Genomic DNA, 16816 nt, shown 5'->3' with positions numbered 1-16816 from the left:
ATTCAAAGGCTTAAAACTGGTAGCCCTTGGACAGGATGAGGCCTGAAGATACTTTCTGTTTAGCTTCTATAGTATTAAAAATATGTAATCCAACATTTAAAACTCAGATGTCACATAACAAACTAGACATTTCAGCTTTCTCCCCCACCTCCCATCCCCAAAATATAAAGATTGGGCAGTATTTGGCCAAACCGTCATACAGAAACAACTGGCTAGAGAAGAGTAGTGGTTTTCCCCTTTCAATAGGACAAGGGCTCTTCAACTTACCACAGTCCCCACCATTCACTGTTGTCACTAACAACAAGGGCCAAATATCAGTAGCCATTTATTGCCAAGGTTTATCTTTTTTTTTTTTTTTGAATTATTGAGAATATTTCTTTGGACCCACAACTATAAAATGTGAAAAAAAATAAAAAGTATGCCAAAAGGGCCACGTGTTTCTACAACACACGAAAGTAAAGAATAATACTGCATGTCTAATATGCAAATAAAATGTCTCTGCCAAAATATCACAACTTAAAATGCCATTATGAAACAAACCACAGAAAGACCTTATTTGTGTTACATACCAGGAACATACCAAAATTTGAATGTCTGATCCACACAGTGATTCACATAAGATGATAAAGAAACAAATGGATATTTTGTGACACAAACGTATTGTGAAGCCTTAATATCACAGATTTATATGCATTTAATTAACCATATAGGCTATCTGAAAATTATTGATACATCACTTGTTTCTAGGGTCTAAAAATGTTTTACAGAGAAAAGAAACTGCTGTTTACAATAATTAAATTTCTAAAATGAGATCTCTACAGTTGCTCTGAACTTGTTTCTAAAGCCAGATTTTATTAGAGTTTTAAAAAATTATTCGAAGTAAACCTAGCATCTAGATAAAATAATTTTACTTCTGCAAACAGTGTTCATATTTTAAAGCTACTCCTGGTATATATATAACGAAGATAAAACTATTTTAATATTGTTTATTTTTAAAATGTTCACAGTAAGAATGCTTAAATCATACTATAGGGCTGTGGAGTTTTTGTTTTTGATACTGATCAAAACTGGCAGCCCTTCAAAAATTAGTCCCATTTAGTAAATTAACCATTTTACATTTTTGAAACATTGAAATTTAATGTTGGCTAATTATTAATTTTATATGCCACTTACGAATTCTTTGTTCATCATTTTTCAAATATTTTTGTTTTGCACTATAGTAAAGATAATTTTTAATTTTTCCCCCAGAGATAAAGCAAGTTTTCAGTTTTGTTTACCATTCTCATTGCTATAGTTCATCAGCATGCCACAAAAGACAGTCAAGAGCTTCTCATTGGCGGGATCTGTTATACTGCACAGTGACCTTAAATGGTCAATTACAATCTGTGCACCACCTGCTTGGTCAACTGCACTTCTGCCCTCATCTGTAAAACAAAGAGTTAAATTAAAAATAAAAGAAAAAAGAAATGTACCTTACAATTTCAAATACAAAACATAACAGTGTTATTCTTTATTTTGTGAATAAATAGAAAATAAACCTAGGCAGGACATTAAATATGTCTTTTCAGAAAAAAACAAAAGAAATAAACATGGAAATGGGGGTGGGATGGGGAAAAGAGACAATCACTTTTTAAGCAAACCAAGATTATTCTCATTGGCATCATATAGGAGCTTACAGAACTTCCCTGTGTCCTAGAAGTTTACAATATGAAAACTTTCACTCCCTCTTTCACAAATGACAATGCTGTGTAAGAGAAAAAAACAGAAACTAAGTGATATTCTATTGATATAAGTTTTTGTCCCTCAGGTTGAAAAAATCACTAAATATAACTTTTTGTCATTGGTTTTCAAAATCAGCTATTATCGAAGAAAACCATATGGGAACGTTATTATGTCTTTGATAATAGCTCTTATTAAAGAAAACCATATGGTGTAACTCTAAATCATAATAGGTAATTCCTGAATATTGGTACTATGGTCTTTGTTAATGGCATTTCCTATAGTCCAGAAGCATGTTCCCTTTTTTCATTCTTGATTTGTTTCTTTTTTCCTTATTCCCTCTCTTCTAGGGCACACCAATATAATTCAACATTACAAAAAGTGGTCAAGTGATGGTCAAACATAACTTCCATTATGTGTCCATCTACATTGCATAAAACAGATGTTACTTAACTGTCAGAACATACAAACAGCTTTAGACTACTTTCTAACTTTTGAACATAAGAATGAAAATAAATTAAAAGAAGAATACGTGTCATTCTAAATCTGACACCTTAGATAAAATATAACCACCCTCTAGAAGAGGTCCAAGAGAAATGTGTGAGCCATAAATGTGAACCACATGTGTAATTTAAATTTACTAATAGACACATTAAAAAACAGGTGAAAATTAATTTTAGTAATATTTTATTCAATTCAATATATATCACTCTGATATGCAAATCAATAAATTAACAAAATATTTTGTATTATCATCTTCACAATATATCTTCAAAATCCAAGTGTTTTATACCCTTACAGTTACATCTCAACTCAGACTAGCCACATTTAAATTGCTCAGTAGCTAAATTTGGCTAGTAGCTACCACACTGTACTATTCAGCTACAGAAATATAGCACAAAGATCAGCAAAATAAATGACTCACAAAGGAATTACAGCTACGAAGTTAGTTACAATTTGAAAGATTTTCATTTTCCAAATATAAGAACTGAAACTAAGGTCACATCTTTATTACTGTTGCTGAATCATATTAGATGATACAACTTAAAATATGTAATTTCTTATGGTATACACACACACACACACACACACAATTATATAGTAAGACCTCAGAAATACTATGTTCATAATTTTGAAAATTTTTGAGGAAATCCACACTAAAATGAAACAAAACAGTTTTATCCACTTAGTTTTACTGTATTGTTATAAAGATGGAAAACAGGACTGTATGCTAATCAGCTCATCAGATCACAGAAAATTCTTATACTGCCAGAGTAACTAGCTAGATGAACCAGCCAAGAACAATTGGTCAAATCTCATTTAGAAATCTAATTTCCAAATTTTTGTTTTCCATAACATAGATGTAAATTATCTAAATTACTGGGCAATTTCTATGTGGATGATGTCTCAGAAAACTGAACATTAGGATTACAAATCTAAATGTTCAGACCTTCAATAATATGAAGGTATAGTACATCCCATCCTAAATTGCAAAGCTCGAATAGTATTTGATTCTAATTCCTGAGTAAACTGGGCTTTTGAAATATAAATCATGTATGCTTAGGACTTACTTAGAAGAAGACATCTTAGAGAATAGCTAAACTAAGCCTTGTATTCATATATTAGGAATTTCATATACTAGGAAACTAGGGCTTAGAAACTATGTGGCACCTATTTGCAATGAACTGTGAATGAAAGCTGGCTTCTTATCCACACTAAGCTAGTAAATGTTCAAAAATTCCATAATTCAATAAATTAAAATACAAACTTATTCAACAAATTTGATGCAATAAAAACACAATACAATTAAAAGCAAATTACCTATTTGTGTTTCAGAGCCACAGTGCTTTTCTTCTCCTCCTCTCCTTCCACCCCCCTCCTCTGAATTGTCTATAACACAGCTTTTTGCTCATGTGTTATTGAGAATTGTTTGCAAGGCATAAACACAATCTGTATACTAGAAATTACATTATTACCAAATATGAGAAGAAAAGCAAAGCATGTATTACAATAATAGTGATCTGGGTTCAAAAAATATTAACCACCACTATAGGAATGATTGATTATACAGCTTTTTTCTTTCTTTGGACAAGTCAGCCTGAGAAACACAGTAAAAGCATTTTTTTAAAAATATTTAATAGAATTTAAGGATTCAAAGGAATAAATGATAATAATGTGTTCCTTTAGCAAAACCAGTGACATAAGTCATCTTTAGAAGTATCTTACAACTGACTTATTTTTCCAGTAGTATTTAGAAAACAAATCATTTTAAATACAACAGCTATCATTGCACAAGTCCATATAAATTGGTTTTCCATAGTTAACTCTATACCTTCATGTTACATTATCATAATGAGTATTATTGTTCACTTAAAAATAATTCTCAAAAGGTTCCCTATCCTAAACTTGTGTATCCCTAAGTGTAAGCTCATCTTTCACTCTTCTCATAAGTAACAGCTAACCTATGAAGCATCCTGAGCTGTCACTTCTAAAAATATAATTTACATCTCAATTTTCCTCATTTAATTATGAAGCATCCAACCACTGGAAAAAGTGCAGCCCACTCTTTAAAGTCCTATTAAATCCTTTAATGATGATCTTTCACACAAAGCAGTTTCCAGCACAAGTATGATCATTCTTCACATTAGCTAAGAGCAGGGCTTTAAATCTAAAGAGTTACTGCACTTCCATTACCCTTCTGTAATCAAAAGCAAGCAGCAATAAAATTTGTGTCATGGTTATCATGTCTCACAAATGAGAAAAAAAAAATGTTATCAAGTTAAACACTATTATCAGGTACAAGTTATACACTAAGGGTGAGGAAAAGACCTAAAATACAGCCACTGAATCTAACTATTGTGGCATGTCGTACAGTGCATCCTAACTTTGGATTTTACTACGTTTCCTCCTTGTGTATGGCAAATGCCTAGTATATAGTAGGTACTCAAGAATTTTTTAATGAATGGGGCCTTTTGACAGATATTGATAAATTACTATTCACCTTGAGGATGGATGATTGTGAGAGTGACACACACACATACGTTGGACTTTGTACATTTCATATTAAAATGTGATTTTTAAAAACTGTCACTTGCATCTTTAAATTTATCTGAATTGAAAAGGAAGCAAGTATCAAAAATCTTTCTAATATGTTAGTGTATTCTTAGCCTGGCTTTTAATATTCTGTGGTTTAGTATCTTTTTCTATAGGAGATAATGTTACTGATATGAGTAATGTTTTTGAGACATAAATGTCATTTCTACTTATCATGGGTTAAATTGTGTGCCCTCCTTCAATCTATGTTTAAGTTCTAATCCCTAGCACTTCAGAATGTGACCTTATTTGGACACAGGGTCATTGTAGATATAATTAGTTAAGGTGAGGTCCTACTGGAGTAGGGCAGATTTTTAATCCAATATGACTTGTATCCTTATAAGAGGAGGGGGATGCACAGAGGAGAATGCCATGTGAAGACAGAGGCAGGGATTAGAATTATGCTACCATAAGCCAAAGAACACCTGGGACCACCAGAAGCTACAAAGAGGCAAAAATGTCCTCCTCCCCTACAGGTTTCAGAGAGAGGCATGCCCTGGTGAGCACCTTGATTTCAGACTTAAAAATCTCTGGAACTGTGAAACAATAAACTTCTCTTATTTTAAGCCAACTAGTTTGTGGTACTTTGTTACAGCAGCCCTAGGAAACTAACACACCACTCCATATAATAGAATATAATACAACACTGTGAAATATTTAAGTTTCTTTTTTGTGTGTGTGAGTATTGTTTAGAAATGGGATTTTGCTCTACAGGCTAACTGTAATAGGAATGTTCCTTGTTAACAACAATTTACCACTGGGAGAGGAGCAAGAGCACAGAAAAAGCCCACAGCTGTGCGGGAACGGGTCCAAGCCTGAAGTCAAAGCAAGAACACTAAGGAAAGTCCTCCAGCACCCATACTCTAAGCATAAAGTAAGAACGGCCGACTACTAAAGGAATTTGAAGAACATACTGCACTCAAGTAAGGTGAGCAACAACAAAACATGAACCTAGTTCGACTCCTGACTAGACTGGCTTGACCTCTACCCTATGCGAACACCCTAAATTAAAAGGAAGTGCGCTCAATTCCAGAGATTAAATACTGTTAATCTGTTTTCCTACAATAATATCCAGCTGCAATAAAAAGTTGAGATGCATTTTAAGAAAAAAATTACTCACTGTCAAAAGATGAAACCAACAAAACTCACAGGTGATCCAGATGTTAAAACTATCATACAGGGACTTTAACGATAATGACTACGTTACAGGATCTAGTGGAAAAACTGAATAATATCCATGAATAGATGTGAAATTTTGGAGAAAATGGAGACTGTAAGAAAGAGTTAAATGGAAATGCTAGAAAGGAGCAACACAAAGAATTATTTCAACAGGCTGAATAGCAGACTCAACAAACCAAGAAAAGACTCAGCGAACTCATAGATCAATAGAAATTACACAAACTAAAACATGAACAAACTAAACAAGTGGGAGTGGGATAACCCAGAGCACCCAAGAGCTGAAGGAAAGAAAATAGCAAATGGTCTAACCTAAGTGTACAGTAGTCAGTAGTCCCCCTTCATCCATGGTTTTACTTTCTGCAGTTTGTTACCCATGGTCAATGGTAGCATGAAAATAATAAAAAAAATTCCAGAAATAAAAAAAATAAAGTTTTAAATTGCACGCTGTTCTGAGTAACATAAAATTTTACACCATCCCATTCAAATCATGAACTCCCTCTTTGCCCGGTGTATTCATGCTAGATACACTACCTGCCCATTAGTCACTTAAGTAACTGTCAGATCAGCTGTCACGGTATCGCAGTGCTTGTGTTCAAGTAATGCTTATTTTACTTAATGGCCTCAAAGTGTAAGAGCAGTGATGCTGACATATGGCTATAACTGTTCTATTAGTTATTGTATTAATCTCTTACCATGCCTAATTCATGGTTTAACTTTATTACAGGTGTGAAAATATATTTAAAAAGACATGATATATACAGGTTTGGTACTACCTTTGGTTTCAAGTGTCCACTGAGGGTCTCAGAATGTATCCCTTGTGGATAAGGGGGCACTACTGTACCTGGAATCTCAGAGAATGAAGTGCTAGAGAACAGGGTAGAAAAATATTTTAAGAGTTAATGACTGAAAAATTTTCCAAAAATGAAAGCCATCATGCTACAAATCTATTAAAGCTTAGAGAACCCCAAGCAAAGGAAAACAATTAAACATACCTAGACCTATCATACCCAAGCTGTTGAAAAACAAACAAGAGGGAGGGAGGGAGAGAGAGGGAGAGGGAGGGAGGGAGAGAGAGGGAAAGAGAGAGAATCTCTTAAAGGCAGCCGGAAGGGGGAAAAAAACAGAAAAAATAAGAAATAAAGCAGACTTCTCATCAAAAACTATGCAAGCTAGAAGACAATGAAGTAACATCTTTAAAGTCCAACCTAGAATTCTACACCCAGTGAAAATATCTTCCAGTAAGTAAGGTTAAGTAAAATTGTTTCAAGCAAATAAAAGAGATAATTCATTGCAATAAACCTGTTATGCAAAAAATGTTAGTAAAAGTTTTTCAGTTAGAGGTATACTAGACAAAAATTTGGATCTACCCAAAGAATGTAGTGCACTGAAAATGATAAAAGTATGTTAAGACAGTTTTTCTCCTATTTTTAAAAGATAATTGACTGTCTAAAGTAAAAACAGGCCAGGTACAGTGGCTCACGCCTATAATCTCAGCACTTTGGGAGGCCAAGGCAGGAAGGTCTCTTGTGGCCAGGAGGTTGAGATCAGCCTGGGCAACACAGTGAGAACCTGTCTCTACTCAAAAGGAAAAAAAGAAATTAGCCAGGCATTGTGGCATGCACTTGTAGTCCTAGCTACTCAGGAGGCTGCGGTAAGAGAATCACCTGAGCCTAGGAGTTCAAGGTTACAGTGAGCCATGATTGCACTACTACACACCAGCCTGGGCAACACAGCAAGACCGTGTCTCAAATTTTTAAGTAAAAATAACATCAATATATTTGGGATTTCTAACATATGTAAAAATGAAATAGAAAACAGAAGCATAAAAGATTTAAGGGAGGAAGTGGAACTGTACAGTAAGGTGATTGATTAAATTAATGTGACATAATATTTGAAGATAAACTGTGATAAGCTAAGAATAAATATTGCAAGCCACAGGGCAACCACTAAAAACTTACAAAGTGGCATCAGAAGCCAGTAATGGGCTGGGCACGAGGGCTCATGTCTGTAATCTCAGCACTTTGGCAGGCCAAGGCAGGCAGATCACTTCAGGTCAGGAGTTCGAGGTCAGCCTGGCCAACATGGTGAAACCCCATCTCTATTTAAAAAACATACAAAAATTAGCTGGGCATGGTGGCGTGCACCTATAGTCCCAGCTATTCATGATGCTGAGGCAGAAGAATTGCTTGAACCTAGGAGGCGGAGGTTGCAGTGAGCCGAGATCGCGCCACAGCACGCTAACCTGGGTGGCAGAGCAAGACTCCACCTCAAAAACAAACAATAAAAAAACACAAGAAGCCAGTAATGGAGCTAAATGTGAAGAATCCAAAAAAAGGCGGACAAAGAGGGAAAGAGGAACAAAGAACAGTTCAGACAATCAGAAAACAACTAGGTTCGGAAATAAACCCGCCTTTGTGGGAGAAAAAAAGAAACAACTAGGAAGATGGTAGATTTGAAGCCAACCACAGAAAGATCATATTAAATACATATAATCTAAATGTCACTTAAAAGGGAGAGATGGTCAGATTGGGTAAAAAAGCAAGACCCAACCATGCTGTCTATAATTAACCCACTTTAAGAATATTAAATAATATTAAAAGGTTGGTAAAAGATATACCATGCAAACACTGATCAAAGGAAAACTGGTGTGTCTACATTGTCAGACATAGTAGACATCAGAAAAAGCGGTATTGGCCAGGGGCGGAGGCTCGTACCTGTAATCCCAGCACTTTGGGAAGCCAAGGCGGGAGTTTGAGACCAGCCTGGCCAACACAGTGAAATCTCATCTCTACTAAAAATACAAAAACTAGCCAGGCATGGTGGCGTGTGTCTATAATCCCAGCTACTCGGGAGGCTGAGGCATGAAAATCACTTAAACCTGGGAGGTAGAGGTTGCAGTGAGCCAAGATCGCACCACTGCACTCCAGCCTGGGCAACAGAGCAAGACTCCATCTAAAAAAATAAAACATAAAAAATAAGCAGTATTATCAGGGATAAAGGGGGACATTACATAACAACAAAAGGGTTAATTCAACAAGAAGATACAACAATCCTACACCTGGAATCCCAGGATTTGGGGAGGCTGAGGTGGATCATTTGAAGTCAGGAGTTCAAGACCAGCCTGGCCCGACAAGGTGAAATCCTGCCTCTACTAAAAATACAAAAAAAAATTAGCTGGGGATGGTGGTACACGCCTGTAATCCTAGCTACTCAGGAGGCTGAGGCAGGAGAATCACTTGAACCCGGGAGATGAAGCCTGCAGTAAGCCGAGATCCTGCTCCTGCACTCCAGCCTGTGTGACAGAGAGACTTCGTCTCAAAAAAAAAAAAAAAAAGATATAACAATCCTAAATGATGTATAAATGCCTACAAACAGAGCTTCAGAATATATAAAACAAAAACTGATAAAACTAGGGATAAATCCACACATTCACAATCACAGAACAGATGCTTATTAAGTTTTAACTTAGGCTTTGTGTCAGGTACAGTAGACACAAACAGCAACACAAGACTTTGCTTTCAAAGAGTTTCTATTCCAATGAGGAAGACAGAGTAGTAAACAGAATAAAAGCCTCAATACAGCTGGGCGCGATGGCTCACACCTGTAATCCCAGCACTTTGGGAGGCTGGGGCAGGTGGATTACCTGAGGTCAGGAGTTCGAGACCAGCCTGGCCAACATGGCAAAACCCCATCTCTACTAAAAATACAAAAATTAGCCAGGTGTGTTGGCACGCGCCTGTAGTCCCAGCTACTCGGGAGGCTGAGGCAGGAGAATCGCTTGAACCCAGGAGGTGGAAGTTGCAATGAGCTGGGAGCAGAGATCGCGCCACTGCACTCCAGCCAGGGTGACAGAGCGAGACTCTGTTAAAAAAAAAAAAAAAGCTTTAATGCAATTTTTTTATGGTGTGTTACAGAAGCATAGAGAAGAGAATATACCTCTTTTGGAGGAATGACTGGAGAAAAAAGGAGAAAGGAGGTTTATATAAAACTGCACAGGAATAAAAAGGAATAAAATGTTCATAATAAACATGAATACATTCACCTAATATCTATAAATAATGAATCCACAATAGGTAGATTTACATGGTAACATTAACATGTTTTCTCTAGTTCACTTATAACCTAAGTTAAATCCTACTTAATAGGAGTAAAATTTCCTTATTTTAAATACTGATTAATGAAATGTATTACACAGTCAGTTTCATCAATATATCTCAAAATCTGCAACTAAATTAGCATTCTCTCCCTCCTTTATCACTTTTCTGAATGCTCACTATGTTTCATACATTGAACTAGGTCCTGAGAATACAAAGACAGATAATTCACAGTTTTACTTGGGTGAGGGGAAAAAGAGGGAAGTGTGAGGGAAAACATATAATTTAAGCAGCAAACAAAATTAAGTGTTCAGAGTAAAATGGAAGCACAAATAAGGAAATTACTTTTACCTGGAGGAGTCAGAAAGAGATTCATAGCCATGTTTTCCAGAACGTCTTTCAAGCCCTTACTGCAATTTAACATGTATATAAAAAGAAACAAAAATTGTGTACCTTTTTGTTTAGATTCTAATTGGATTCCCTTCCTTATTAGCTCTATTAAGGAAAAATGTAGGTAAAATAAACTACACAGATTTAAAGTGTGTTTAACTGATGAGTGCTGACAGCTCTACATACCTTAGCAACCATCACCACAATCAACATACTGAGCATTTTCATCACAACCAAAAGAATCCTCAAGTCCTTTCGTAAGCCATCTTTCCCTCCACCTCTGGTCCCAGGTAACCACTGTTTTCTGTCAGTATAGATTACTTTGCATTTTATAGAAATGGCTTCATGCAGTAAGTATTCTTTTATGTGTCTATTTTCACTCTAATGATTTTGAGATTCATCCATGTCATCATGTATAGAAGTATTTTTTCATTGCTAAATAGTATTCCATTGTTTGGATATACCGCTATATCTTTTATCCACTCAAATATACTGATTGACATTGGGTTGTTTCTAGTTTTAGGCTACTGTGAATAATGCTGCATTGAACATTCACGCATAAGTCTTTGGGCAAGTATCTAGGAATAAAACAGCTAGATCATATCATAGGTGTGTATTTGTGAGTATATGGTTATTAAGCATTAAAAGAATGATGAGCCACTGAAACATTATATTTAAGAAGTTTTCATATACTGTATGATATGGTCTGGCTGTGTCCCCACCCAAATCTCATCTTGAATTATAGCTCCCACAATCCCCACGTGTCATGGGAGGGACTCAGTTGGAGGTAACTGAATCATGGCGGATTGTTTTTCCTATGCTGTTCTTGTGACAGTGAATGAGTCTCATGAGATCAGATGGTTTTATAAAGGGCAGTTCCCCTGCACAAGCTCTCTTGCCTGCCACCATGTAAGCCTTTACTCCTCCTTCACCTTTCACCATGATTGTGAGACCTTCCCAGTCATGTGAAACTGTGAGTCCATTAAACTTCTTTTTCTTTATAAATTACCCAGACTTGGGTATGTCTTGACTAGCATGTGAAACAGACTAATAAACTGTAAAAATGAAAAATTCTTAAAAGAATGAATGTATTCCTGAGTGAATAAGAGGACTTCAGTACATGCATATCAAACTGAAGTGGAACTTTAGCTGATTTATATAGGTAAATATAGGGCTTCTCCTTCTCCAAAATCAACAGAGCTACAGAAAAGAATAAGCCCTATTCTATGAAACAAATTTTAAATGTATAACTTTTCTAATTAATTTAATAATAACATAATCATACAAATCATAAAATGATGAAAAAAGTTCAAGGCTAAAGGAAATAAGGATTGTTAAATATAGATCTTCATGTAAAAATAATGCAATTGATCTCACTCATAAAAAATTAAATATTTTACCTGGAGGCTTGGTTGTTAGTCAATCAATTTTAACATAAAGTCACCTTTAAGAAAACTGCTCATCATTCTCATTTATTTATGACTTCCTGAAATATATACCAACTCAAAACAAATAATCTGGCATATCTCCATTCCTTTCTCTTTTTATTAAAAAGCAGTGCATAATATGGATCTCAGTTAACCAAGATGAGGTAATACATACAGTATTAGTTTGTTTTCACGCTGCTGATAAAGACATACACAAGACTAGGCAATTTACAAAAGGAAGAGGTTTAATTGGTCTTATAGTTCCGCATGGCAGGGGAAGCCTCACAATCATGGCAGAAGGCAAGGAGGAGCAAGTCACATCTTACATGGATGGCAGCAGGCAAACAGAGCTTGTGCAGGAAAACTCCCCCTTACAGTAACTATCAGATCTCATGAGACTTACTATCATGAGAACAGCACAGGAAAGATCTGCCCCCATGATTCAATTATCTCCCACTGGGTCCCTCCCACAATACATGGGAATTAAAAATGAGATTTGGGTGGGGACACAGCCAAATCATATCATTCCACCCCCGGCCCCTCCCAAATCTCATGTCCTCACATTTCAAAACCAATCATGCCTTCCCAACATTCCCCCAAATTCTTATTTCAGCATTAACTCAAAAGTCCACAGTCCAAAGTCTCATGTGAGACAAAGCAAATCCCTTCTGCCTATGAACCTGTAAAATCAAAAGCAAGTTAGTTACTTCCTAGATACAATGGGGCTATAGGCATTGGATAAACACAACCATTCCAAATGGGAGGCACTGGCCAAAACAAAGGAGCTACAGGCTGCATGCAAGTCTGAAATCCAGCAGGGCAGTCAAATCTTAAAGCTTCAAAATGATCTCTTTTGACTCCATGTCTCACATCCAAGTCACGCTGATGCAAGAGGTAGGTTCCCATGGTCTTGGGCAGCTCTGCCCTCTTGTTTGCAGGGTATAGCCCCCATCCTGGTTACTTTCATGGGCTGGTGTTGAGTGTCTGCAGCTTTTCCAGGTGCCTGGTGCAAGCTGTTGATGGATCTACCGTCCTGGGGTCTGGAGGATGGTGGCCCTCTTCTCACAGCTCCATTATGTGATGCCCCAGTAGGGACTCTGTGCGGGGGTCCAACCCCACATTTCCCTTCTGCACTGCCTTAGCAGAGGTTCTCCATGAGGGTCCCACCCCTGAAGCAAACTTCTGCCTGGCCAACCAGGTGTTTCCATACATTTCCTGCAATGTAGGTGGAGGTTCCCAAACTCAATTCTTGACTTCTGTGCACTCGCAGGATCAACACCACATAGAAGCTGCCAAGGCTTGGGGCTTCCACCCTCTGAAGCCACAGCCTGAGCTGTACCTTGGCCCCTGCTCACCATAGCTGGAGTGGCTGGAAGGCAGAGTACTAAGTTCCTAGGCTGCACAGAGTAGGCAGGCCCTAGGCCCGGCCCACAAAACCATCTTTTCTTCCTAGGCCTCCAGGCCTGTGATGGGAGGGGCTGCTGTGAAGACCTCTGACATGCTCTGGAGACGTTTTCCCCACTGTCTTGGGGATTAACATTCGGTTCCTCCTTACGCAGATTTCTGCAGATGGCTTGAAATTCTCCTCAGAAAAATAGAATTTTCTTTTCTGTCACATAGTCAGGCTGCATATTTCCAAACTTTTATGCTCTGTTTTCCTTTTAAAACTGAATGCTTTTAACAGCACCCAAGTCACCTCTTGAATGCTTTGCTGCTTAGAAATTTCTTCTGCCAGATACCTTAAATCATCTCTCTCAAGTCCAAAGTTCCACAAATCTCTAGGGCAGGGGCAAAATGCTGCCAGTCTCTTTGCTAAAACATAACAAGAATCACCTTTGCTCCAGTTTCCAACAAGTTTTTCATTTCTATCTGAGACCACCTCAGCCTGCACTTTATTGTCCATATCACTATCAGCATTTTGGGCAAAGCCATTCAAGCCTGTAGGGGTCTAAACTTGCCTACATTTTCCTGTCTTCTTCTGAGCCCTCTAAACTGCTCCAATCTCTTCCTACTACCCAGTTCCAAAGTCGCTTCCACATTTTCGGGTATCTTTTCAGCAGTGCCCCACTCCTGGTACCAATTTACTGTATTAGTTTGTTTTCATGCTGCTGATAAAGACATACCCAAGACTGAGCAATTTACAAAAGAAAGAGGTGTAATTGGACTTACAGTTCCACGTGGTTGGGAAAGCCTCACAATCATGGCTTCAAAGGCAAGGAGAAGCAAGTCATGTCTTCAATGGATGGCAGCAGGCAAAGAGAGCTTGTGCACGAAAACTCCCCCTTATAATAACCATCAGATCTCATGAGACTTACTATCACGAAAATAGCATGGGAAAGACCTGCCCCCATGATTCAATTACCTCCCACTGGGTCCCTCCCACAATACATGGGAATTCAAGATGAGATTTGGGTGAGGATGTAGCCAAACCATATCACATATATATTAAATACTTATTAACTCACCCATATTATGTTGAAAAGAGAGTGAGAGAAAGAGAACCACCACTTGTATTTACTTCAAATGACAAACATTCTGAGTAAAGAATCTGTTTGTTTCTGTCCTATTACTTGCTTCTTACTGTTTACGTTAAGGTTTCTCTGGTCACTAAAGACTTCTTTTTGGCTGCTCATGGACATGATAATATGGTTTTGCCACTTTCATCCCCGTTTTATTTCACTTAAAGCACAGAATTAGAAAATATTTTGTTAGAGAGCTACTAAACTGAAAAGCTTACTTTGCTGTGCCAATAGAGATATTTAAAAGGGTATATTAACAATCAGTAAAAATCGAACAAAAGTGATAAAAAGTAACATTTAAAAAAAGTTAGATGTGTATAAATTCCTTATATCATTATTGCAGGAAAAAGTGAATTTATTCAGAACAATTAGAAGGACAGTATTATTTTATTTTTTTGAGACAGGGTCTTGCTCTGTTGCCCAGGCTGGAATGCAGTGGCACAATCTCCACTCACTGCAGCCTCGATCTCCCAGGCTCAAGCGATCCTCCCACATCAGCCTCCCAAGTAGCAGGGTCTATAGGTGCATGCCACCACAACAGGCCAATTATTGCACTTTTTTGTAGAGAGGGGATAGGGGGTTCCGCCATGTTGCCCAGGCTGGTTTCAAACTCCTGAGCTCAAAGGATCTGCTCACCTCAGCCTCCCAAAGTGCTGGGATTACAGGTGTGAGCCATGATGCCTGGCTCAATTTTAATTTTTCTTTATACACCTTGTGTGTAAAGAAAACAATACAAAGCAATAGATACTTGTCTGCAAACTTGAAGAACATACCTGTATTTGTCTAGCTGGTTTACTGGGAAGAGTCAAACTCTCAAATTTTTAATTGGGTTTCCTTAGGTATTACTAAGAATCCAATCAAATCTGAACATCCTTTATTCCCAATGAGTTTAAAAGGGAAGTCAGTATTTCACACACTTCTCTACAGAGAAAATGTCAAGAATAAATCAAATATAATAAAGAATGTTTATTCACATACATACTTTTTTTTTCTTTTTTTGAGACAGGGTCTTCTTGCTCTGTCACCCAGGCTGGAATGCAGTGGCCTGATCAGAGTTCACTGCAGCCTTGACTTTCTGGGCTCAAGTCTCAGCCTCTGGAGTAGCTGGGATTACAGGTGTGTGCCACCACGCCAGGCTAATTCTTTTACTTTTTTGTAGAGATGGGATCTCCCTATGTTGCTCTGGTGGGTCTTGAACTCCTGGACTCCAGTGATCCTCCAGCCTTAGCCTCCCCAAAATGCTGGGATTACAGGTGTGAGCCACTGCACCCAGCCCTCACATCATACTTTTTTTTTTTTAAATAAAGCTTTTATACTTGGAAAAATGTAAAAAGTTTTTCCTCCATCACTTGGTTCTACTCTATGTTCTTTCAATTAGGTAAATTTTATTTTTGTGTTCTTTAAACAAATTAAACAAAATGTTGGCTTAAGAACAGCTTTTAGTAAAATCCTTAAAACATATTCCAAAACCTGCGTGCTCAGAATTATTCACACTGAAGCATAAATGTATTTAATGACAGTGCATTTATGTATTTGACAGTGATAACTTCCTCAGATATATTTACGGAAACAATGAACCTGAGATCTGGTTTTCAGATCAACACTATCACCAATTTAGCTGTTGATTCTGATAAGTCACTTGAATTTTCAGGTCTCAGTTTTTTTATCTGTAAAATTTGGCAGGGGTGGCTGAGATGACTTTTAAATTCCCTCCTACGTAAAAAACTATGATTTCAAGGTAGTTTTATTCACTTAAGCTTTCTAATTTCTCTTGGTTCCCTGAATCTACATATTCCATCTAAGAAACAGTTAACAACATTTTGCTAAATGCAGGAGATTATTTTAACTTTTTGAATATTTATTCCCCAAAGGTAAAAGAATATAAAGATATAGAAATCGCCTATGTGCCATTTCTTCTTGTGTCTCTATGAAGAATCTCAGACTTAATAATGCCTGCAGCAAAACAAAATAAAAACAAGCAGCAATGACGGAAAAACCCAGAAACAAAAAACAACCTCTGTTCTTTCCTACATCGGCAAATTGCCCCATCTTCTGTCCAGGTACTCAAGTCCTAGAAATCACTCTTGATTTCTCCCTTTCGCACTTTCCCAATCCAATCCATCACTCCAAATACTTTCTAAGTTCCTCCTCCTTCCACACTACCATAACTTAATCCAAGTTACCATTATGTTGTGACTGGACAATCACAAAAGTCTTTCAATTAGTCTCAATGCTTCCCTTCTTAACTCTTAATTTCCATGCTTCTCAACTCCTTTTCCATGCAGCTCCAAGAGTGATGTTTTTAGAATCCAAATCAGATCATGTCACTTCTTGCCTTCAACAACTTCTCACTACTTCAAGATGATTCATGAGGCTTTCTATCATCAACACTTTT

General features: G+C 37.2%; 1 protein-coding gene across 12 annotated transcripts in view; it reads right to left on the bottom strand.

Annotated features, from left to right (window-relative positions):
* The window catches only part of RAP1GDS1 (Rap1 GTPase-GDP dissociation stimulator 1), a 182475-nt gene that overhangs the window by 63418 nt on the left and 102241 nt on the right, over positions 1 to 16816 (bottom strand). For 6 of the 12 annotated variants that reach the window (NM_001100426.2, NM_021159.5, NM_001100427.2 and 3 more), the window contains one exon: positions 1278 to 1424. The exons of 5 other annotated variants lie outside the window; for them this stretch is intronic. In NM_001100426.2, coding sequence (NP_001093896.1) covers positions 1278 to 1424 — 147 coding nt within the window. Of the gene's footprint in view, positions 1 to 1277; positions 1425 to 16816 lie in introns of those variants that run through there. One more of the 12 variants, XM_047416052.1, reaches the window with a different exon arrangement.

Source organism: Homo sapiens, chromosome 4, assembly GCF_000001405.40.
Source record: "Homo sapiens chromosome 4, GRCh38.p14 Primary Assembly".
NCBI classification, from domain to species: Eukaryota; Metazoa; Chordata; class Mammalia; order Primates; family Hominidae; genus Homo; species Homo sapiens.
Note: the sequence above shows the minus strand (reverse complement) of the source record. Positions and strands in the feature narration are given on the sequence as shown.